General features: G+C 35.2%; 1 protein-coding gene across 33 annotated transcripts in view, besides 2 other annotated features; it reads left to right on the top strand.

The window, feature by feature from the left end:
* The window catches only part of KIF21A (kinesin family member 21A), a 149893-nt gene that overhangs the window by 66083 nt on the left and 58466 nt on the right, over positions 1 to 25344 (top strand). For all 33 annotated transcript variants that reach the window (XM_047429133.1, XM_047429128.1, XM_047429123.1 and 30 more), the window contains exons 2-11: positions 6777 to 6999; positions 7127 to 7309; positions 9006 to 9155; positions 9874 to 10008; positions 10521 to 10688; positions 13825 to 13940; positions 18665 to 18860; positions 19601 to 19790; positions 20143 to 20206; positions 25058 to 25261. In XM_047429133.1, coding sequence (XP_047285089.1) covers positions 6777 to 6999; positions 7127 to 7309; positions 9006 to 9155; positions 9874 to 10008; positions 10521 to 10688; positions 13825 to 13940; positions 18665 to 18860; positions 19601 to 19790; positions 20143 to 20206; positions 25058 to 25261 — 1629 coding nt within the window. The remainder of the gene's footprint in view (positions 1 to 6776; positions 7000 to 7126; positions 7310 to 9005; positions 9156 to 9873; positions 10009 to 10520; positions 10689 to 13824; positions 13941 to 18664; positions 18861 to 19600; positions 19791 to 20142; positions 20207 to 25057; positions 25262 to 25344) is intronic.
* Positions 7027 to 7146: an enhancer, noted in NCBI's record as "active region_6198". NCBI's record gives its function as "activates an Ori minimal core promoter by ATAC-STARR-seq in GM12878 lymphoblastoid cells {active_cell/tissue: GM12878}" and the evidence as "EXISTENCE:reporter gene assay evidence [ECO:0000049][PMID:35858748]".
* Positions 20795 to 20914: an enhancer, noted in NCBI's record as "active region_6197". NCBI's record gives its function as "activates an Ori minimal core promoter by ATAC-STARR-seq in GM12878 lymphoblastoid cells {active_cell/tissue: GM12878}" and the evidence as "EXISTENCE:reporter gene assay evidence [ECO:0000049][PMID:35858748]".

Genomic DNA, 25344 nt, shown 5'->3' with positions numbered 1-25344 from the left:
GACAGTTTACAAAGACATTTAGGTAATGGAAAAATTTGTCACATGTATGAAACCATTGATTAAGGACAATAGTACTTTCTAACAGGACAACAAATCAGCAATGGCTAGTGGCAAAAAGGAAGACATGTTGTATGTTATTCCTCTTCTATCTGTAGGGAGAAATAACTTGACCAATAAATGAGCAAAAGAAAGGCTTATCCCTTGTGATGTTTTTAATAAAATGGGGAACAGAGGAATAGAAGGGGTAGGAGTGTAAGAGAGAGTCTGAAAAGTACCACAAAAACCACATGCATTTAAAAATTTAAGTTTGATCGTTTGCATCATTGGATTGAGTGATGTTGGTGCTAGTCTTATAATTTTGAAAAAATGTATGGGTTCTTGCACACGTAAGTTATAGGAAGTTGTAAACTATAATAGCATAGACTTATTTATTTTTCTTGGGTCAGCATTCCTTCAGTAGCTCATTTGTCAATATTGTAGTCACTAGCATTTAATTCAGTTTAGTTCAGTATAAGGACAAATTGTACCATAACAATTTAATCCCCAGCTTTAAACAGACTTTTTACTCAGGACCTTAGTTCTATTCCTTTCTGAATGAAATTTCCTTACTGGTTACATGTCTATAAAAAATGATAATAATATTAAATTATAAGAATTCTTATTTTGGCTCCTATTGTACCCTATACTGATAAAAGTAGAAGGATGATTGGGACTTGATTATTTATTACTATGAAAAGGCTAATTTTGGGATTATGACTTTTTATGAATGGAGGTGTAAAGATATCCAGCTTTATTATCTTTGCATAACAATGTATGTGTGTATATCTGTAAGTATATGCATACATGTATGCAGGAATGTTAATTGTTGTATTACACTTCTATTGATGACGTAGGGGTTCTATATTTAATTTTCTTGGGGACTCAAGGTATCCAAACGGTAATTTAAAAAATACAGCAACAGTCTGGGGAGCCAAAGAGTAAATCATGCATTCTTTAACACATGGGAAGGCCCAAGCTGAGATGTTAGGGTGCCTCATGAGGGAAATGACTTAGAGAATTTTCAGGTGGTGTTGTAACAACACTTTTATAGCTATGTAGGCTCTCATTGTCTCATAGTATCTCATTTGTGCAAGATGCTATCATGTGGCTATGGCAATAATATTATAATATTTAATAGACATTTTATAGATAAGGAAATCAAGGCTGAGAGAGTGACTTGCCAAAGGTCGCTAGTATGTATTAAGGCCTGTGAAGGGACTGAGTTTTCACTCTATTTACAAGCTAACAAGCTAACCCATTACTGTATCATAAATAGTGACAGAAGACACAAAACTCCCGATTGGAGACTAAGGACTTTTATTACTTGTGGTACAATAAGTAATGTGAGCTTCATGTTGATTTGACCTGGTGCTCTGTTCCCTTTCAATCCATCGGGGGCAGTGCTGATACCCCTATTATATGGTTGCTGTGCAAGCAGGTGGGCATTGAGAAACATTGAGCTTATGGATTAACCACTTTTATACTAAGCAGAAGCAAGCCAGGTCTGTCATGAAGACATTACCTTATCCTTAAAGTTTGCTTGTTCCCAACATAACCTTGAGAAATGATCCATGAAAAGAGCAGTCTGGGTCTTGCATTCTTGGCATACACAGCAAGAATGTGCAGGAACTCTTAAGGTTGTGGTGAATTGCCTCTTAATAGCAGTATGTGACAGAACTAATGTATAAACTCAGTTTTGCTAAGTTTCATGACTAAAACTCTAGTTGAAAAGGTAGCAAGTATAAGCCTTTCCCCCAAAATACTTTATTTTAAAACTTTTGTTTTATTTAGGACATCTCAAAACATGTCTTCTTGGCTCATTTAAATATATTCAATCACTAAAACCAGTTTCGGTTATTACAAAGGCAAAGAACAGAAGGCAGGGCCCACTTTTAAGACATTTCCTGAATTTAGTCTCAGAATCTCCCCTAATCTTCACTAGTTCCTTCCACAGCAATGAGCCCATGATAATGTTTTCATAAATGAAGTAGTCCCTTGCCCTATGTCCACAGTATCATTTGTTATACGATAGGAATAATGAAGAAATAAGGAACAAACAATAAGAAGTACTGGTGCATAGTGCATGGCAGGGGAAAAAAAAGTAGTTTATTCAACCTTTTAAAAGCCAGCATAGGGAAACTTTGGTTTGTTTTTCTTGAAGGATTAATTAAAATAGAATTTAAACTTGGAATTAGTAAAGCCAGGCTCCTCATAGATTAGAAAACAGACATGTAGCATGGTTAAATGCTTGTTCAAGAATGAGTTTCCAGTGACAGAGTAAAGTGATGTTATATTATTGTAATTATCATATATCTTGCATTAAAATACTCTTTTTTTTACCTAGTGTAGTTTATAGGGGTAAGTCAGTAAACACTTCTGGATTACTTTGCTTTAGGAATGAATAAGATATATTCTCTGTCTTCAAAGAATCATTTGCTAATGGAGAAATAATAATTCAATTTTTGTCCGTAATTGTTTGTCTTTAAGAAGCAGTTTTAAATACATCTAGTTGTAGAATAATACATTTTTAAAAATCTACTTGGCTTTGTTATTTCTTAGTGTTAGTCAGTTTGATTAAGATTAGTTAATCCAAACGTTAAGACTGATGATTTCTTAGTGTTGGGACTAGATGCATGTGTTTAATGATCTTATTTTTTACATAAAAATACTGAGAAAGAAGATATTTCAAAATATCCAAAGTTGTAAATGTTATATTTCTAACTTTCTCTTTTACAGAAGGATATGTATATTTCATCTATATAGAACCTCAAGTAATAGTTTTGAAATTGAGGTTTGTAGCTAGGTTTCAAACTCATCAATTATAAAGCAGGTGAACTGGCTTGGGTTGGGTGTTCCTGTGAGAATTATTGACTTGAGTATTAATTTAGGGATTTGGAGATTTTAAAATACTAATTTTTCAAGAGGAATTAAAAAGGTGAACCTATCCCTAGTCTTTGAAGTATAGTCAGCTTCCAATTAATCTGCATGTGTGGGACACCATCCCCTCCTAGGTGTGACTTTCTCAGACCTGCTGGAAAATTGCCATTGCTTGGATCCAGTGGAAAAGTTTTCACCCATCTTGCTGGCTTTTAAAACCACTCTGTCTTCTTCACCCATGCAAATGGATGAAATTGGGCATCATCCATGTTTCAAACAGAATCCTCCTTGCCATTAGCAAGAATCATAACCAGATGAGTAGAGGTTAAGAGAATAAGTTAAAGACATTCTGAGTGACATTAGCATCTAAAATTGGCTATCGTATCTGCAATTCAAATGGCACCTAGTTTTTCTTTGTTATGTTGAAATGAAATTTAAAGTATCTTAATAGCCAAATAAATTAGCCTATGGTTATAATCATTTACCTAAAATTAATGGCACACTGATATTAAGTAGTAGCCCAGTACTTGTTTTCATTAGAGTGTTGCGTTTATTATTTTTATCTTTATTATTACATGGGATTTGTTAAGTTTCACAGAGTAGTATAGCAGCCATAAAGCTGGTAGAAAAAGCAGAGACTTGGAGTTAATGAGGTAGCTTTCAGGAGAGAGAACAGCCTGAGCACAGACAGGACTTTATGTTGAAATGCAGAGTTTGTGTGAGCTCCCAAAACAAGTGATATTGAAAGAAAAATATTCAGGCGGGTAAAGGAGTTGGGAATTGAAAGGGTGGAGAAGAGTGTCTAGGAAAAGGGAATAATGTAAGTTGGAGGCATAGAAACAAGAGAGAGCATAGCTGGTAGTGAAACTGCCTAAAATAAACCATCACCACGGCTACTAGTGAAAATCCTTTAATGCAAAGATGTAGCATGGCAAAGCAGAGGGATTTAGAGATGCACTGAAGGGTTTTACGCAGGGTAGTGAGCTGACCAACTTCCTGTTTTACAAATTACTCATATTACAGTGTGTGGAACAGGTTGGTGAGGGCAAGAGTTGACACAGGAAGACTGGTTAGAAGACTTTGCAATATTCTAAGTAAGAGATAATGATGGCCTTCATTAGGGTGGTGTTGATGGGGGAGGAAATAACTTGGTGGGCTGAAGTATTTCAGAGAGAATAGCTCTTAGATTAGATAGGTGGAATAGGGAAGAGGGAGGAATTGACATGGAATTGAGGTTGTTTCTGACTCTCCCTATTTCTGGCGTGGCAACAATCAAGATGGTGGTTTTTCCTAAAGAGGATTGGGGTTTTTGCTGTGGTAAAAAGTAATGTGGTAGGAGAAGAGGAGTTTGGAAACAAAAAATTATTAATTTAGAGAAACACCACTCATCTAGGTTATGTGGAACCAGAAAGCCAAACCTGCTACTACCACGGGCTGTTTTTATAGTCTGTGTGCATAGCTACAAGAAATTACAAGAAATTCTTTGTTTGTTATAATATCATTTAATATGTATTACAGTACACAATATGATTTCCATCTTTCCCTTTTCTATAATACAGTATCTACAGTTAAGTAGTATTAGATCTAAAAGCAATCTTGGAAATTATAGTTTTCCACCACAGTTGAGGAAGCTGGTGCTCTGAGAGAAGACCACATGATACCTATGGAGTGACAAGTAGTAAAACTCAGGTCTGCTACTGGCCATTCCATTGCTCTTGCCTCATTACCTGGACAGCTCCACATTGATTAGTACATTCCATTACAGCAAACAAACAAAGCTGAAGACTTTATTAAAGAAAAATACCAGTATCATAGAGGAGAAAAAATAGTTGCATATTCTTTACTTGACATATTATTTACATGAGATATTTTTGAGGCATACAAAATTCTGTTTTAGAAAACCAGGTTTGCAGAAACTCAATCCTTTCTCTATTGTCATTCCTGTTCTTCCTGTTAACCTTTTATTTTAATGAACTGGAAAGAGTTAGACTTAGGGGATCTGGACTTGGGCTTGGCTTTATCTCTAATAAATAGATGAACTTGTTTTTACCTCTATTTTACCTCTATTGACCTGAGTTTTTTTTTTTTTTAAATTTCACAAAATAAGGCTATGAGACCAGATTCCTTTAAAATCTGTTCCTTGACCTGTCTTGATCATTTTATATTTTTCTCTTTTCTTTTTTTTTTTTGAGACGGATTCTCACTTACTCTGTCGCCCAGGCTGGAGTGCAGTGGTGCTGTCTTGGCTCACTGCAACCTTCACCTCCTGGGTTCAAGCAGTTCTCCTGCCTCTGCCTCTTGAGTAGCTGGGATTACAGGCTGCACCACCATGTTGGGCTAATTTTTCTATTTTTAGCAGAGACCAGGTTTCACCATGTTGGCCAGGCTGGTCTGAAACTCCTGACCTCAAGCTATTGGCCTCCCTAAGTCCTGGGATTACAGGCGTGTTACTGTGCCTGGCCTCATTTTATATTTTTCATCTGTGGTTGTCTTGCCTTTCTTCCTTAAACTGCTTCTCTTTCTCCATGGCAAGTAGGGAATCTCTTTAAAAACTTTGGTACAGTAAGTGAGTGGTTTATATTCCAGAATAGTCTGTCCTGTTTATAGAGCCTATAGAATAGGACTAGATTTTGGTTTGTTCTGTTATGAACATATCTTCATATTTACTTTTCTTCTTTGAAAACAGATTTTGAAATTTGAGAGGGAAGACAGATAGGATGGTGTTGGATTCAAGTGGATGTGTGAGGATGTGGGGTGGGTGTAGTGCGGTGGTCTTCCAGTGGAGGAAAGGCAACTCATAATAATTCACTAAGTTTTGGAGAGAAGATATTAGAACTTTCACTTATATTCATTTTTAATTTATTTCTTTTTAAAATTCTGCTTTTCTATACACAGTCAACTCTCCATATTCAGGGGTTCCACAACCACAGATTCAACTGACTGTGGATTGAAAATATTCAGAAAAATAATGGATTGTTACATCTGTACTGGATATGTACAGACTTCCTTTTCTTATTATTCTCTAAATAATGCAGTATAATAACTATTTACATAGCATTAACATTGTATTAGGTATTATAAGTGATCTGGAGATGATTTAAAGTATACAGGAGAATAAGTGTGTAAGTTATATGCAAATACTACATAATTTTATGTCAGGGACTTGAACATCTGCGGATTTTGGTATCCATGGGGAGTTGTGAAACCAATGTGAAACCAATCTTTCATGGATACTGAGAGATGACAGTATTTCAATATATGACAAATCAATATAGTAGGACATGAATATTATTTATAAATGAATATATATATACATATATATTGTGGGAATATGCTTAACATGTTACACTGATAGAACATAATGGTCAAATAGGTTCAGAAACCACTGGTGAAGAGTTAGCAAAAAAGACGAGTCAAGGGCGTCAAGACATTAAGATAAATAAATGTCCTTGCTTTTTTATTTTTCCATACTATCATCACTGGAAATAAAGAGAAAAAAATCTAAAACAATAATAATAGCAAATAGCATTTTGGTAGCAGAATTTATTGGACTGAGTGTCTACCTCTTACAGAGTAGAGGAAAAGTATCCACTTGGGTAAGTATCTAATTTTAAGATGGATTTTACTTTGTTCATGATTTTGGGGGATTGTTAAGTAACTCATTGGGATTAAGAAAGTCATCTCATGTACTGAAATTGATTCATTATAATTCAATTTATTTAAACTTTTCAACTGAATAAGCATTAGGTAATTACATGAGTTTTAAAAAAGATTTGGCCAAGAGTTTTTAAGTCCTATTTTTTGAGAGGTTTTTTTTTGCCATTTATTTTATTTTTTTCTTTTCTGATTATTTCTCACAGAATAAGACCACAGCTTGCCAAAGAGAAGATTGAAGGATGCCATATTTGTACATCTGTCACACCAGGAGAGCCTCAGGTCTTCCTAGGGAAAGATAAGGCTTTTACTTTTGACTATGTATTTGACATTGACTCCCAGCAAGAGCAGATCTACATTCAATGTATAGAAAAACTAATTGAAGGTTGCTTTGAAGGATACAATGCTACAGTTTTTGCTTATGGACAAGTAAGTGCCATATTATTTTCATAGGAGTTGAAACTTTTCAGAAATGTTAATTCAGTTGCGCTTTCATTTTTGTTTCTTAAGGTTATGTTAAGGTTGAACACTAATCTTTCTCTGTTCTTTTGTTTAGACTGGAGCTGGTAAAACATACACAATGGGAACAGGATTTGATGTTAACATTGTTGAGGAAGAACTGGGTATTATTTCTCGAGCTGTTAAACACCTTTTTAAGAGTATTGAAGAAAAAAAACACATAGCAATTAAAAATGGGCTTCCTGCTCCAGATTTTAAAGTGAATGCCCAATTCTTAGAGGTAATAATCCAATTTTGGCATTAATTTCTTTTAAATTTTGTTCTTATAGACTGTGTTTATGATTTTATACTGTTGGCTTCAAGTATAGTGCTTTGAAGATAGTACTCAATAAATGTTGTTTGAGTAAATTAACATTAGATAGTAGAAATAACTTTTCCTTACTTGTAGGAAGTGATGTTTGAGTTTAAGATTATAAACACTTGACCAATGTCCATAGAATAAAAGAACAATTAATATTGTTTATTTAAGAACCCCCCCCATTTTTTTGGAGATAAGAGTCTCATTCTGTCACCCAGGTTGGAGTGTAATGGCACCATTTCGGCTCACTGCAGCCCCTGCCTCCTGGGTTCAAGTGATTCTTGTGCCTCAGCCTCCTGAGTACCTGGGACTACAGGCATGCACCACCACACCTGGCTAATTTTTTGTAATTTTAGTAGAGATGGGGTTTCGCCATGTTGCCTAGGCTGGTCTCGAACTCCTGGCCTCAAGCTATTCACTTGCCTCTGCCTCCCAAAGTGCTGGGGTTACAGGTATGAGCCCAGCCAGGAACTTATTTTTATCAATAGATAAAGGTTATTACTGTTGTAATTTAGACAGGCTTACAGAGTGGTGGGAACTTAATGACTAAGGCCAAAAGTAGGGGAAGTATGTGAGAAATAATAGGTCTGAGGTTGTAGCACTTATCTGGCTGAAGAAATTGTTATCCTTGCATAGGTAGACAGATGTTTTGATATAATGTCTAAAGGTTGTGGTGGATTTGGATTAATTTAGGCTGTCTAGCATAGTAGAAGGAAAATAACACTAAGAGGACATCTAGGATTTGAGCAATATTGCACTTTGGTGGACAGTGGCATAATTCTAGGTTCTTGGTGCAAAGAGAATTTAGTCTAAATTACCTGATCCATGAGCTAATCATTTTCATCATTGATGAAAATTTTCCTCAGCCTTATGTAGCACAACATAGAAAAATTAGTATCAGTTTTTTTTTTTTACTGCTGGTTTTAATGGATATCCTTATTTAGTAAAAACCAAAGAGAATATAACTATGTATTCCTAAGGAAAGTAAATGATGGTGGAAAAAGAAAAGAAACAGTGTTATTCCATCTTCCCTTTCACCCTCCAAAATGTTGTCAGGCATTGTAACTTTAAAACATATTGATAGAAAAATAGGTGTGTATATTCTCTTCTAAGGAGGTATCTGGGTTTTTTCAGCCACTATTGATACAGGAACACTAATATTGTTACTGACCTTGCAAACATGCTAAGTGTTAATTTTTCAACACGTTAAGAAAGGTTTCAGGGCAACAGGAAATATGTTTTTAGCTCAAGTAGTAAAAATTCTTTAAATATTCTGAAGCTTAAGATTTGTCCACATTTGGCACATGTTTCTAGGGTTTGCTTGTATTTGTAAATATTTGACTATCTCTTGCAAAGGATTAGTAGATCATTTTAGCTAGTCCTCAACCCATTAGTCATGATTAAGTCACTTACTGTTTTTACTTTTGTAAATAAATCTGGCATTTACTTATAATTGTTATAATAATAGCCTCATTCATTTTAATGTGTTATTTTGAAAAAATATGTCATTTTGAAATACTTTAAAAATCTGTATGAAGGAATCATTATGTAATGTGTTGTTATGACAACTACCCAGACAATTTCTGCTAAAATTAGATTTCTAATATTTTTTTGATAGCTCTATAATGAAGAGGTCCTTGACTTATTTGATACCACTCGTGATATTGATGCAAAAAGTAAAAAATCAAATATAAGAATTCATGAAGATTCAACTGGAGGAATTTATACTGTGGGCGTTACAACACGTACTGTGAATACAGAATCAGAGGTAATATTTATATTATAGTTAAAACAGAGCATAGTTGGCTTTATTTAAATAGTGAGCTTTGCTGATAATCTGCTTAAGATCAAGATATGAAATTTATATCCTGAAGCATGACATGGAATTAAGATCTTGTGTTCTTTCCTCACATTTAAAAAATCAGAATATTAGTATAAAAATATCAGGATTATTATAAAGTCAGCATATTTGTCATAGCATCAAAAGAATCTAAGGCAATTTATGAACAGTTTTCATTCACAGCTAGAGAAAGAGGGTTAGACAATTGATGGTGAAGAATGAGACCACAATCCTTTTGTACTTTTTGCTTTAACCTATGTAGAACTGTATCATGGCTCCTAGAGGGAGATTGTTGAGAAAAATTACAAAAAATAATTTTAACGGAATATAGAGAAGCGTCTGAATAATTCAAGTTATTGCTCAGTTTGTACCAAAGTGTTCTACTATAACAGTTTTGGAATGGAAGCTGCAAATGTCAGCAAATGGCCAACAATGGAATCTCAGTGTTTTCTTCTATTTAAAAAATAATACACTATTATACTGAGAAGTCCATCTCAAAAAGTGCCTGTAACTGAACTAATAATGTGAAATTCCACATCTTTTATATCCCTTAACATGGTGGGTTTTAGCCATTACCTCAGACTTTGGATTGTATAGTATCTTGTTTATTGTTCAAGTAAAGTCCTTGTTTCTTCCCCTTTTTCAGATGATGCAGTGTTTGAAGTTGGGTGCTTTATCCCGGACAACTGCCAGTACCCAGATGAATGTTCAGAGCTCTCGTTCACATGCCATTTTTACCATTCATGTGTGTCAAACCAGAGTGTGTCCCCAAATAGATGCTGTGAGTTATTAATTCTAATTTCTTAAACTTTCAATTTTTATCTCCCTAAAACCACATGAATTCTCTGAGAATATATTTGAGCCAAATTCAGTTCATTTAGTCATTCCTTTTTCTAATTTCCTTTTCTGATCCTAGTTAAGTTGAAGCTGGTCAGCCATGTAAGATTTTGAAATAAAAAATTGTATAAATGTCTGAAAAACCAAAAAGCATGCTGTGGCCATATGTTGTTGGATGTCATCACCTGAGACCTTTTGCTTTTGAGGATTATATGCTGTAGGTTTCCCTTCATTAGCATAAGCAAAGCCTCAGTTGATAATAGTTGAGTTCTGACCATCCAGGCTTTTTCTGACTTTAAATTTCTAATTGCCAGCAGACATTTTTGAATTTATTTGGCTTTATGCCTGTTTCTTTGGTTGTGCCTATATGTGTACATGGGATAAGCGCAAGGTAGGTTAGGAGGATATTTAATGTTACATTAATAAAGTATTTTCAATTATTTTTCTTAATTTCAGGACAATGCAACTGATAATAAAATTATTTCTGAATCAGCACAGATGAATGAATTTGAAACCCTGACTGCAAAGTTCCATTTTGTTGATCTCGCAGGATCTGAAAGACTGAAGCGTACTGGAGCTACAGGCGAGAGGGCAAAAGAAGGCATTTCTATCAACTGTGGACTTGTAAGATTAAGGCTTTGTGCTGAGAATATATCAGAGCTTTTCTATTGTCCTTTTGTCTTTTGTAATTTATAATATCCATATGGAAATCCTTCAGATACTGAACCAAGAAATGAAAATTATAGAACAGTTATTAGTAATGCACTGAATCTCCAATCTCCTCATGTTGTAGGCTTTTTTCTGTTTTTATATATTACAGATTTTCTTCATGTGTATAAATTTAGTCGTACTAAAATTTATATGTGCAGAAAATTATAGATATACAAATTATTTGAAAAATTCTTTCCACATTTAACAATATACTGTCAAAATCAACTTATTTATTTATTTTTATCTTTTATTTTTTTAAAACAGGGTCTCACTCTGTCACCCACTCTCCTGGAGTACAGTGGTGCGATCATGGCTCACTGCAGCCTTGACCTCACGGGCTCAATTGATCTTCCCACTTCATAGAAGCTGGGACCACAGGCGAGTGCCACCACACCCAGATAATTTTTGTATTTTTTGTAGAGATGGGGTTTTGCCACATTGCCCAGGCTAGTCTCAAACTTCTGGGCTCATGCGATTCACTCACCTCAACCTCCCAAAGTGCTGGGATTACAGGCGCGAGCCACTGCGCTTGGCCCAAAATTTAATATTAAGTTATTTCATGGGTGAAGACCTTCAAAGTAGCCTTTTGATAACATTTTATGACAGTCACTTTATTGACTTTGGAAATTGTAATTTTTTTTAGTAATGATTGTTTCAAAATGATAATTTTTCTAGATTATATTAAGAATTAACTTTAATACCATGCCACCTAGTGGCATTTTGATTGGAAAACTCCTTGTGATTTAGTTAGCATAAAGCTTCATTACATGGAAGGAAATATTTTAGAGCAAAGTTTTGTGTTTTAAATTTGTTCTTATTATCTTCATTACAAAACTGGATATTTGTACCTGCACAAATGTAATGACATCCCTAAATTTCTGCGACACCAATAGCATCAGAGTTGTAACCACCCAAGGGATTCTTTTTGCCTGCTGCCCAGATAGAGCTGATTTATCAAGACAGGGGAATTGCAATAGAGAAAAAGTTTAATGCACACAGAGCCAGCTAAATGGAAGACTGGAGTTTTATTACTCAAATTAGTCTCTCCAAAAATTCAGAGACTGCAGTTTTTAAAGTATAATTTGGTGAATGAGGGGGCTAAGGGAGTGGGGAGTGGAGGTTAAATCATATGGGGTCTAAGTGGATTCTTCTTGCTGTCTTCTGTTCCAGGGTGGGATTACAGAACTGCTTGAGCCAGATTACCAGTCTGCATGGTGTCAGCTGGTGCATCAGAATGCAGGGTCTAAAAAAATATCCAAACATCAATCTTAGGTTTTACAATAGTCATCTTATCCATAGGAGCAATTGGGGAGGCTGGGAATCTCGTGGTCTCTAGCTGCATGACTCTTAAATCATAATTTCTAATAATCTTGTGGCTAATTTGTTAGTTTTACAAAGGCATGCTGGTCCCCAGGGAAGAAGAGGTTTGTTTCAGGAAAAGGTTGTTATCATCTTTTCAAAATTCTTTAAACTATAAATTCCTCCTTTAGTTAGCTCAGCATAGGAATGAACAAGGGCAATTTAGAGATTAAAGGCAAGATGGAGTGGATTAGGTCAGATTTCCCTCACTGTCATACTTGTCTCACTGATATGAATTTTGCAAAGGCAGTTATAGAGTGTGTGGTGTCTGCTTTCCTCCCATTAATCACCCCCCAATATTTACTCCTATATGATTATGATCCGTCTATGGGGAAATTACCAACCAAGCCTGATTAGAGAGAGCCAGACCTTCCAACTCCAATACTCATCTTGATGGTCCGACATGTGGGTGAATGTTGTATAAAATGGCATGCCTGGATTCTGGACTTCTTGCATTGTTTTGAGTTTCTTAGGAGATATAATCATGGTGGTATTTACATTTATGTTGTCAGGAAAAGACAAAAGCCATTGCTTTGTTTTCCTCTTTAGGCTCTTGAAGCATGTTGAGACATATCTAGTAGAGTTTCAGTATTACCATTGCTTATGACAGTAGCTGCTCTGGAAAGGGGGAATGATGAAAAAGTGTGATCCTGTTGCCACTCCCTGCATGATCTATTTTTCCTAACAAAGTCATGGTTATAGATGTTTGCATTACTGATGGCCAGTGTGAACAACATTTTGGATAATGTTTATCTTGTAGGTGATAATTCAGTGACAGTAGGAAAAACAGCAGGGTGGCAGGAGTGACTACAGAGTTCTGTAATTTGACTAGTTTTTAAATAATTGGATGCTAACACATATATTATTGTATTTATTTATTTATTTTGAGGCGGGGTCTCACTCTGTTGCCCAGGCTGGAATGCAGTGGTGCAATCCCAGCTCACTGCAACCTCCACCTCCCAGGTTCAAGCTATTCTTCTGCCTCAACCTCCCAAGTAGCTGGGACTACAGGCACACACCACCACGCTTAGCTGATTTTTGTATTTTCAGTAGAGATGGGGTTTCCCCATGTTGGTCGGGTTGGTCTCAAACTCCTCACCTCAGGTGATCCCCCCACCTTGGCCTCCCAAAGTGCTGGGATTATAGGAATGAGCCACTGCACCCAGCCCATCTTATTGTATGTCTAAGGATAGATATACTTGCATAGGAATACCTTGTTCAGAGAAATAATACTGATTTTTTTTGTTGTGATTAAAGAAGGTTTTCTTTTCCCGTGGGAACTGTATTGCAAAACGAAAATTTGCATCAAACTGTTAAACTAACTAAACATTTTATTTTTACATTGAGTTGAGGAGAAGAATGCGTAACATGAATGGACAATTTTCTGGGGACATAACCTGATGCTCTGATAATTCTAGGGGTAACTAAAGTTGTCAATCTTATTTCTGTTTCAAAGAATTAGTACTATTAGTACTATAGTACTAATATATACATACGGTATTATATATAGTACTAATATATATGTACTAAATTTTCAGTGACATTGGTTACAAATGTAAAACAAAACCAAACACAAATATTCTTAATTATATTATGTCTCTATATTATTCTCTGTAAACTTTCTTTATTTAAAATTGTTATAATTAGTAAATTTGTATCATTTTGCTGTCTTTCTTTCTCTTTCTTTTAGTTGGCACTTGGCAATGTAATAAGTGCCTTGGGAGACAAGAGCAAGAGGGCCACACATGTCCCCTATAGAGATTCCAAGCTAACAAGACTACTACAGGATTCCCTCGGGGGTAATAGGTATGCATAGATGATTATCCTCTACTCAGACTTTTGATTATTCATTATTAAATAAGCTTGTAAGATGATTTATAAGAACTACTTTTATTGCAAAGCAAACTAATAGGATGAGGAACTAATCCTTATACTGTTAAGGATCTCAAATGTGTGAATAATTTTGTATGTTATTTCACATAATCCTAGCATCCCTTGAGGTGTAGGTATTATTATTCTATTTTCTAGATAAGGGAAATGAATCTAGAGAGGTTAAGTAATTTATTCAAGGCCACTTAGCTTGTATATGAAGTCAATAGTATGTGGACTTTCTCTCTTATCGTAGCTTCTGTTTTAAGTACTTAGCACAGAATAGAAAGCTAATAAAATTTTGTTGAAAAAGTACTCTTTCCTAAGTAATTACAAAGTAATTTAAATATTATTGGTACTTTTTTTTTTACAAAGTCTTCTAAAAATTCAAATTTTTTTTTATACGTGGAAAAATCTTAATGTCCACTGAATGAAATACAGAGTGTTGGCTGGTTATTAACTTTGCCAATATCACTGACATTCTTGCTTTCTCATACCTTGCATCATTCTGATATGTTTTTTCAGCTTTTTTTTTTATGGTAATGTATTCCCCTCTGTAAATATGTTGGCTTTACAAATGGAAACATTTTTGGGATTTAAATTCAATCATAGCACAATTCAACAAGTTACCAACAACCACAGTGAATCTATTTTACAGTGTTTGCAATAATGTAACATCATATTTACTGAAAAGATTATTAGATGCTATACAACAAATCTAGTATTTAAACTAGCAAGGTTTCTTTTTGAACAACTGTGTTAGTTCGTTCTTGCACTGCCATAAATACCTGAGACTGGGTAATTTATACAGAAAAGAGGTTTAATTGTCTTACAGTTCTGTAGGCTCTACAGGAAGCATGATTCTGGCAGCTGCTTGGCTTCTAGGGAGGCCACAGGAAACTTACAGTCATGACAAAAGGCAAAGAGGGAGTGAGAACTTTACAGGGCTGGAGCAGGAGGAAGGAGAGGAAGGTGCCAAACACTTTTAAGCAACCAGATCCCCTGAGAACTCTATCATGAGAACAGTTCCAAGAGGGAAATTTGCCCCCAACATCTAATCACCTCCCACCAAGGCCCCACCTCCAACACTGGGGATTACAATTTTACATGAGATTTGTGTGAGGGCACAGATCCAAACTGTATCAACAACTATTATCCAAATAATTTTGGATAATATTAAATCCTTTTAAGTTTATAATCCGTTTGGTTTAGAAATAAAGTTCTGTTTTGGCCGGGCGCAGTGGCTCATGCCTGTGATCCCAGCACTTTGGGAGGCCAAGGCGGGCAGATCATGAGGTCAGGAGATCAAGACCATCCTGGCTAACACGGTGAAACCCTGTCTCCACTAAAAATACAAAAAAATTAGCCAGGCGTGGTGGCGGGCGCCTGTAGTCCCAGCTACTCGGGAGGCTGAGGCAGGAGAATGGCGTGAACCCAGGAGGCGGAGATCGTGCCACTGCACTCCATCCTGGGAGACAGAGCGAGACTCCGTCTCAAAAAAAAAAAAAAAAAGAAAGAAAGTTCTGTTTTGTAGAATACAACATTGTCATTTTTATGTTTCTTCCTTTTATGTACTATTAGCATTTGTCTTAACTCATGTCTCTTCCAGCACATCCTATGTATGGATGCAGTTTTCCTTCCACTATCATATATTTCTTGTGTTCTATATTTTCAGTTTGATCTTCAGTATCAAGAGGGGTCTTATTATAACAGAATAAAAATTTTCATTTTTTCAGCCAAGTGTAAATTTTTTCGGGTTTTCTAAATTGTAGCTTTTTCCTGTATTTATTTCTTAACTATAAAACAAAGCAGACATGATATATGTCCTCCCCTTACTATTTTAACTCTTGAAAACTTCAATACTTTTGAAAGTTTGCTTACCTTATAAGTGGTCTAAGATATTTTCACTGTGGATCTTGAATTTCTGCTGAGTTTTAGGCTACAGCTAAATAGTCTCATGTTCCTCACCTATTTCCTTAATGGGTGGTAACCCCTCAAAGGAGATGACCCCTTCTAATTCCTTTCTTCGTGTGCCTCAATTTTTGCTTAAAATTTTAGGATTGCATTCCTAGTGCAAAAGCACTGTACTTTGTGTAAGCCTTGGAGAGCAAAATATCTTCACTTTTTGAAGTTTATACAAATTAAACTTAAAAGAAAAATTAGACCAAGGATATTTTTGAAAATAAGCTCCATATGTTTATGTGCATAATTTAGTGTCTTTTAAAAAATTCGAGCTGGTTTTTTTACATTTACAGTGTTTAATAAATATCATAACCAGTTTATGGCAAAAATTCTGGAAAATACAGGAAAGTATAAAGCATGAATAAAAATCAGTTATATTTATAGCTGGGCACAGTGGCTCAAACCTGTAATCCCAGTACTTTGAGGCCTAGGTGGGCGGATAACCTGAGGTCACAAGTTGAAGACCAGCCTGGCCAACATGGCAAAACCCCGTTTCTACTAATAGAAACACAAAAATTAGCTGGGCATGGTGGTGGGCACCTGTAGTCACAGCTACTTGGGAGGCTGAGGCAGGAGAATCGCTTTAACTCAGGAGGCGGAGGTTGCAGTGAGCTGAGATTGTGCCACTGCACTCCAGTCTGGGTGACAGAGTGAGACTCCATCTCAAAAAAAAAAAAAATCATATTTCTAATACCTAGAAGTAACTACTGCTAACATTGTGATACATTTTCAAGATGTGTAGTATAACTTAATTTGTAAGAAATATAATATACAATATAATAAAATATTTAAGTGATATAGTTCTCTTTAAAGCAGAATTGTGTGCTTTTTGTGTGAACTTTTAAAATAAATAGCTTTTTTTTAGCTTTATTTTATTTTCTTTGAGTTTTTCATAAATAGAATCATTCTTGAAATTTATATATTTTGGGTTTTGTTTAATATATGATGTTTTCCCTATACAATTGATCCTTGCCAGTTACTCTTATTCCTGACTTTCACTATTCTTCTTAAGCCCTTGATCCCAGCACTTCTCAAAATATTTGTTAAAGGCGAGTCCTTCCCTTCTTTCCAATTTGTGGTGAGTTAATATTGTGCATGACCATACAGAGCTTGCCCCATTTGTGACTCACCATCGGAGTTTGAAAACACTTGAACTGATCTATACTCAATGAGAGGAGGTCATTGATTACAGGAAGTTCAAGTGTTGTGGAAGTTTCTAAAGTGCTTACTTGCAATTTCTGCATTACTTTAAACATTTTTTGTAAATAAGTAAGAAATGGATGTATGTACCTGTGCTTACTCAAGGTGTTGTGGGTCAAAGAAGGCTAATATAAATTTATTTTCCCCAATTTTATGTAAGTAAAAATAATCTGCAGACTGGTGCTAGACTGGGGACCACACTTCAAGTTGCTCTATTCTCTAATCAGCATCCATAATCCTCACGCTTACTGAATTACCTTATTTTCTTTATCAAAAGAGAAAACTAAAATGGCATGAATTATTTTAACTTTCTGACCCCCAGTAAATATTATGTACACATGACACACATCACAATTGTTAATGACCTAATATTGGTTCAAATGTTGTGTTATATGTTTAGAAGTATGCTGATAAATAAAAGTTGATAATCCCTGTCCTTTAGGAATCTAAAGTCTAAGAGTTTTGGGGTCTATAAAATTTCAATATAATAATAATATAAAGAATGCAAAAGAGATATCCAAAAGGTGTGAGGAGGCAGAAAGGGTACAGACAAATGGAGGATTTGGTTCTTGGATTAGGTGATACCTTAGTTGATTGTTGAATAATAGTAACAGTAAGGGTAAGCAAGAGTTGTAGGAAAAAGGTGTGGAATGGGACAAGGGGTACCTACGAGTACTGTGTTGAGATTATTGTCGAAAGAAAAGATTGGAAGCAGGAGACTAGGAGGCTAAGATTATGATTGATAGGCATTGATTTTTCTACCAGGATAAGTAGACTGCTCCTTAATTGCAGTTCCTACACATTTTTTAGTTAGTTTGTGAGTGTCTGTTAGAATCTCCATGTCTGCTTTATTTACAAACATAACATACAAACATAATGGGGCATACTTAGCATTTCACTATCCTAATCTTCGGTGGCTAAATCAATTTATCATGACCGTAAAGTAATGTTTCCCACTTTTCCTATGTAATCTGGCCAGAAACTGTAATTCTGATCATTCAGTCACAAATGACAGTTTATATAACGAAACACAAGAATATACTAAGTACTCTTCTTGTTTCAATGTGATTGGATTTTGTGTACAATTCTTTGCTGGCATCAAAAGTCAGGATACTGGTGATTAAGAATAAATTTTTAAAATACTGAAAGAATAAATAATGAAAGAAGTGGTTTTAGATTTTCAGTGTAATGTATTGTAGTCAGTTTAATTTTAGAATTACTGTGTGCACTGCTTCAAATCTTTTTAGCAAAGAGGTAAGAAATAAATGTATGTGCTTATACTTTCTCAAGGTCAAAGGTGAATAATATCAATTTATTTCCCCAAAGTAAACAAAAGCTTTTTCTTAAGATAGTCTTCAAGTACAGGGGCTTTTAAATTTGCTCAATATTTTGGTATCTTGAAGAGAAGATACTATTCAAATGTTAGGAATTTAAAAATGATTATTTTAGCATTTTAGGTGCTTTTATGTGTAAGCCTAACTATTATTTGTAACTTTCAGCCAAACAATCATGATAGCATGTGTCAGCCCTTCAGACAGAGACTTTATGGAAACGTTAAACACCCTGAAATACGCCAATCGAGCTAGAAATATCAAGAATAAGGTGATGGTCAATCAGGACAGAGCTAGTCAGCAAATCAATGCACTTCGTAGTGAAATCACACGACTTCAGATGGAGCTCATGGAGTACAAAACAGTAAGCTAATGAGTTTGACTTTGCATTTTGTGATACATCTAAGGCTGGCACTTTCTGAACACAATAATGCCTTACACATACGTGTTTCTGGAATCTCTTGGTTGTCATAATAGTGTCCTCCTTCCTTTTGGAGGTAAGAGTCTCTAGTTTTCCTTGTGGACAGTCTTTAACTATGTTCAGTCTAACTTAACAACTGTTTGTTCAAAAGCTTTCCTACCCAATTTTTTTTTTTTTTTTTTTTTTTTTTTTTTTTTTTTTTTTTTTTTTTTGAGATGGAGTCTCCCTCTATCACCCACGCTGGAGTGCAGTGGCGTGATCTCGGCTCACTGCAACTTCCGCCTCCCGGGTTAAATGATTCTCCTGTCTCAGCCTCTTGAGTAGCTGGGATTATAGGCACCCGCCACCACACCTGGCTGATTTTTGCATTTTTAGTAGAGATGGGGTTTCACCACGTTGGCCAGGCTGGTCTTGAACTCCTGACCTCACGTGATCTGCCCACTTTGGCCTCCCAAAGTGCTGGGATTACAGGTATCAGCCACTGCACCTGGCTAATCAATTTCTTTAGTAACAAATGCATTGTGGAGTGTTCTACTAGAGGTGAAAGGATTTCTTTTGCCTTGGGGTTGGTAAGATGAAAACGCTCTTGGTTAGAGAATTGTATAGTTATAGAGTATTCTTAAGCAAAACTCTTGTGTTTTTAAGGCTCCTCAACCAACAAGGACATTATTTTCCTTTACTAGGGTAAAAGAATAATTGACGAAGAGGGTGTGGAAAGCATCAATGACATGTTTCATGAGAATGCTATGCTACAGACTGAAAATAATAACCTGCGTGTAAGAATTAAAGCCATGCAAGAGACGGTTGATGCATTGAGGTCCAGAATTACACAGCTTGTTAGTGATCAGGCCAACCATGTTCTTGCCAGAGCAGGTATGTGGGTAGGGTGGGATAAGTGAGGGATTAACTTCTGGAGGGCAGGGAACATTCTTTGTGTTCACTAATTACCTAGCATAGTTGAAATAGAAATGCCAGTCTCTGTGTATACAGTCTGTGGTTTTAAGTTAAATACCTAATTTCAAAAAATAATAAATTCTTATATAAACAAAATATTCCCTTTGTAATCATATTATCTTGTGGTCTGCTCATGTAATAAAGGGTAGAAAATTTGCTGTAAGAATTGTGTTTTAAAAAATTATTGTTTTGTTTCCCGACTTTTTTTTTCTCCTGTTTTGTTGAAGTCTTAATTTAAAGGAAAATTTTTATTTCATATTTTGTCTTTCAGGTGAAGGAAATGAGGAGATTAGTAATATGATTCATAGTTATATAAAAGAAATCGAAGATCTCAGGTATAGTTCATGTTCTGTAACATATAATGCACATGTTTGTTTTGGATTTTGCAATGTTATAATATTTCTGTTTGTTGGGCTTAGTGTTCAACAGTTGTCCATGGTGATATTTCAGCCCTTTGGTTAGGTTAACTTTAGGAGATTCTTTACTTACCTTTCCCTTGATGTCATATTCCAAGCTGTTTTCCTCCTTTCTCTTCCCATATTATTCTCCTACTCTTACTGCTATGTCCCAATATTGGGTGCTTACCTAACTTGACATATAAAACAGGCAAAGTTTATGTTGCTGAAGTTATCTTTGATGCCTTTCCTTCGTATGCCTCTTCCCCCATCAGTTGGGAATAGATCAATATCTACACATCATCTCCAATTTTTTGAATCTCCTGTTCTCTTTTATATCTTCAGCTATTCTTACATGTAAATCATGGCATACCTACTAATTTGCCTGCCCCTCTGTGGTACATCCATTCACATTTCATACAACATGCCACACATACTTGCATATGTCAATACCATGACTGGGGCTGGGGGCAAGCATGACATGAAGAGTTCACACTCTAGGTTGGGCAGCATACATAAATCATCACATGTAGTAAACAGAATGACAAAATTTAGTTAAATGATGCCCATGCTGGTGTAGGAATGTGGAGGGGACTAGACTTGGGGAATAGGGTTGGGAAAGAAGATTAAGTCAATAATATTTTCAGGTTCCACGGTTTCCCGTGATGACTGAGCTATTTTTTTCTTGAAGGAAAACCCCAGTCAGCTCCATGGGGGAGCATCTAAGTAGTTCAAATCTCACTTCTGCTTACCATTTGCAGAACATAAGCAAACGGGAGGAGATCATCTTTCACAGTTACCCTGTCTTGTATTTGTGTTCTCTTTCTCTTCCTCTGGCTATTCTAGAGGTTCTCAAACTGTGGCAAGTACTATCTCCACTGTTTCTGGCTCCATAAGGCACACTGGATCTCTTAAATGTTTCAAAAAGCAAAAACAAATGAAAACACATCCCGATGTGGCAATATAGTTATTCAAGTATAATTTTATTCTGTGTATGTGTGTGTGTACATATATATTATAAATGTTATGCATATAACATATATATATATATATATATATATATAATTGTTCATGCTTCATGTTTTTGGTAGAGACCTTTGAGGCACTGCATCCTGGTTCTGCTCAGCAACCAACCTGGACTTGCAGTTTCTACCCCGTGTTGAGAGTACTGTTCCCTGCCTACTGCTAAAAATTTGTTCTTTGACCAGTCTTTCCTGATTTCGTTGACCCCATCTTTACCACTCCTTGAGACACAACTGATAGCTCTGTTTTTTTAATTCTTGAAGTTTCTCTTTCTGCTCTTAGGCTGCGTCTCTTTTCTCTTTTATTTCTTTGGCACTTGCCAATTGTTAAGGCCAATTGCCTATATGAGTTCTTATGCTCTCTTTCCTTTCCTCCACTCTGTATTCTAAGTTTGTACCTCAGCTTTATGTCACTATTAGGCAAATTGCTTGACTAGTGCTTATTTCCTAGAAAACTACCAGAATCACTTCCACTCCTTCTGGTGGCTAAAAGCAGCATCTAATGTCTTCCTTCTTCAAAGTCTTGAGTTAAGACTATTCCTTCCTTAAGCCATTTAGAGAACAGAGATGACTCATGGGCTCTGAGTTCAGTTGCTGATCATATCTTTCCTGGTGTAGGTTAATACCTTGTTCCAGATTCTCAACTTGTCTCTGATGGCTCTTTAATTAGGTGTGTCCCACCCCTGGGGAGTAGCCTTCTAGAAGGCCAGGATTATAATTTACATATGGGATAAGCATAAATGAACCTTGAATTCAAATTGGATTACCTGGATTGAAATTTAAGCTTCTATTTATCAATAAGGTGTACGACCTTGGGCAAGTTACCTAACATCTCTGAGTTTTAGTTTATTCATCTGTAAGAATGAGATAATACCTGCTAATCTCAGAGAGTTATTATGGGGCTCAAATAAAATAATAGTATATATACGTTCTTAAATATAAAGGTATCATAAAGGTATAAAGTGTTACGAATATTTAGGTCCAAATTCTCAAGTTCTGTTTTTACCTGCTAAACCCGACTTCAACCTATATTTCTGTCAAAATTAGATCTTAGGAAGACATTTATTCACAGCTCTTTAAACTTAATGCAAATTTATGTTTGTTTATTGCCATTTGGGAATATTTCTATTTCATCTTATCATTTTATTGTAAATGAATAGTAGTTACCTTTTAATAAATTTACATGTCACATTACTTGTGAGATAATAATAATCACTAATTAATTAATCCTTGTGTTTTTTGGGGCATGAAAAATTTTGCAGAACATTTTGAAAATATAGGAAAATGTAAGAGAAAATTAAAATCATGTGTATTCCCATTATTCTAAGAACTGATGTTAACATTTTGATCTATCTCTTCAATATTTTTCCAATGAATACTTTAACGTAAATGACACCAGACTGTATATTTTGTTTTGCTATCTATTCTTTGAAAAGCGGTAATATATTATGAACATTTTTCAATGTTAAAAAGTTTCTACAATGATTTTTGCATGGCTTCATATAGTACTGTCCTGTTGTAATTCACTTATTTAACTCTGTGCTGTTAATGATTATATTATTTCCAACTTTATGATAAGAATACTTACTATTTTTTAAATATCATGTTAGTTGGGGGACTTTTAAATTCATTTTATCATTGATTCTCAAAACAATCCTAGGGAAGTATATATTTTTAATCTCAGTTTTACAAAGGGAAGAGTGGGGCCTTTTAGAGACTTGATGGTCCAAGATCCAATGAATGACAGCTGGCATGCAAGCCCTCAGTGTGCTCCTTCCCAAAGAAGTTTGTACACTTGCCCTCATACCTCACTCTTTAGTCTCTATTAAATGAAATGCAGGAAGTACCAAGTGGGTGGGTGAGTGAACGGGAAGAGAGAGAGAGAAAGAGATGGGGAAAGAGAGATGTTCTCCCTGTAGGCCATACAAAAAGTAGATTCTGTTAATGTGGAGTTTGTGGAGGTAATCCCTAAAAGGCCTTTGTCAGCACTAGATCAAAGACTCATTGGATATGCCCCTACCAAATGCAGACTTTTAACATTATGTAAAAAACAAATTTTAAAATAAAATACCTACATTATTTATTACATAATAATAAAGGAGACAATTAAAATATAGATCATTATGGTTAGCTGATTTATTATATTTTCATGCATTCTTAGCATTCATTATTAGGTACCTAGGCTTTGTGCTAGAAATTAAAAATATAGAAAAGTATAATATATTATTTGTACTTTTCTGTTGTTTGATAATCATGAATTTTAACTTTGAGTTTTTATATGAATTTTCTCTAAAACATTTTTGAAGTCATTTAATTAACCTAGAAGTTTGCACACAGCTATTTAACCATCTAAAAACACTGTAATTGTTCTGCTCGCATATGGTATCACATATATAATAAAACAATTTCATTAAAGAATGTGTAGGACCAGGTGGGGTGGCTCATTCCTGTAATCCCAACACTTTGGGAGGCTGAGGTGGGAGGATCACTTGAGGCTGGGAGCTTGAGACGAGCCTGGGCAATATAGTGAGACCCCATCTGTCTCAACTATTTCAAGAGTAGAATGAATAATTTTGGTAGGCAATGGAAAAGCACTGAGCTGACTGTGCCTTCCAGAGCTTAGTGTTGCAAATAATCTAGCATCTTTCTCTGAAATATTTGAACATATGGCAAAGGTGCTTAGTAATATAGTGTTGAGAGAGAGATAGGTTGTGTTTTCTTCTTATTTTTCAGTCTCAATCACTGTTGTGCCAAACTAACCTTGAAAATCTATTATATGTAAGTAGATAATTGTATTTTTGATGGTTTAAATCAAGTAGAAATAAGGGAATTGGCCTAGAGGACTCTCTGAATCCTTTTAGTCTCAATAGTCTAGGCTCTTTTAGGATTTCATTGTTTGATGTCTTCATGTGTGAGGATCAGTGTGTATGTTATTCTCCTGTCATTATTAGGACTGCTTGAGCAAACAAAAGAATTTTTTCAATTATCAAACTCAAGTTTCCTTGGAGATACTGTCTTTTCCCACGCTATATTCAGGAGCCAGATGTCCGTCAGCCAGTTTGGGGCAGATTTGACAAATTATTCCTTGCACAGTTTTGGAAATGCTACTATTGTGTGATGAATGAGGAACTGAAACTAAGGGGAGCATGCTGCTTGTGTATTTTTTAAGTTTAAATAATAGGTTTACAAGCAAGGACAACTGATGTCCGCTGGCCAGAATTCAAGTAATCTAATTACCACTGGCATCTGAATATGTAGAATTCTTTTGAGTATTAAGATTATGATTACAAATATATAATTATTCAATCAGGAAATATGAAAAAATTGTTAAATGTTAATGTGTGTGAGCATTCTTTTATGATTATTTTTATTATTTTGTGAGAATTTTATTTAGTTTAAAAATCCTTATCTTGTAGCCATGTTGAAATGCATTTTGGAAAACTTTTTAGCATGAAGACTAACTCATTTAAAATGTTCCTGCCTTATTGCTAGAGCAGTCAGATTCATAGAGACAGAAAGTAGAATGATGGATGCCAGAGCTGAGGTAGAGGGGCTGAGGGGAAGTTAATATTTCATGGGTATAGAGTCTCAGTATGGGAAGATAAAAAATTTCTGGAGATGGATGGTGGTGACGGTTGCAGAACAATATAGATTTGCTTAGTGCTACAGAGCTGTACACTTAAGAAATGGTAGTGTGGTACACTTTATGTTATGTATTTTTATCCACAGAGAAAAATGCTCCCTATTTAAATATATTTTTATTTGCTAGGGCAAAATTATTAGAAAGTGAAGCAGTGAATGAGAACCTTCGAAAAAACTTGACAAGAGCCACAGCAAGAGCGCCATATTTCAGCGGATCATCAACTTTTTCTCCTACCATACTATCCTCAGACAAAGAAACCATTGAAATTATAGACCTAGCAAAAAAAGATTTAGAGAAGTTGAAAAGAAAAGAAAAGAGGAAGAAAAAAAGGTGGGATTATAAAATCACCACTAAATGAATCTCTATTTCCTTTTCAGGGTATTTTAATTTGCAATTATAAAGAGCATACATAG

The sequence above is a fragment of the Homo sapiens genome, chromosome 12 (assembly GCF_000001405.40).
Source record: "Homo sapiens chromosome 12, GRCh38.p14 Primary Assembly".
Classification (NCBI taxonomy): Eukaryota; Metazoa; Chordata; class Mammalia; order Primates; family Hominidae; genus Homo; species Homo sapiens.
The sequence above is the reverse complement of the archived record's forward strand: the minus strand, read 5'-3'. Positions and strand labels throughout refer to the sequence as shown.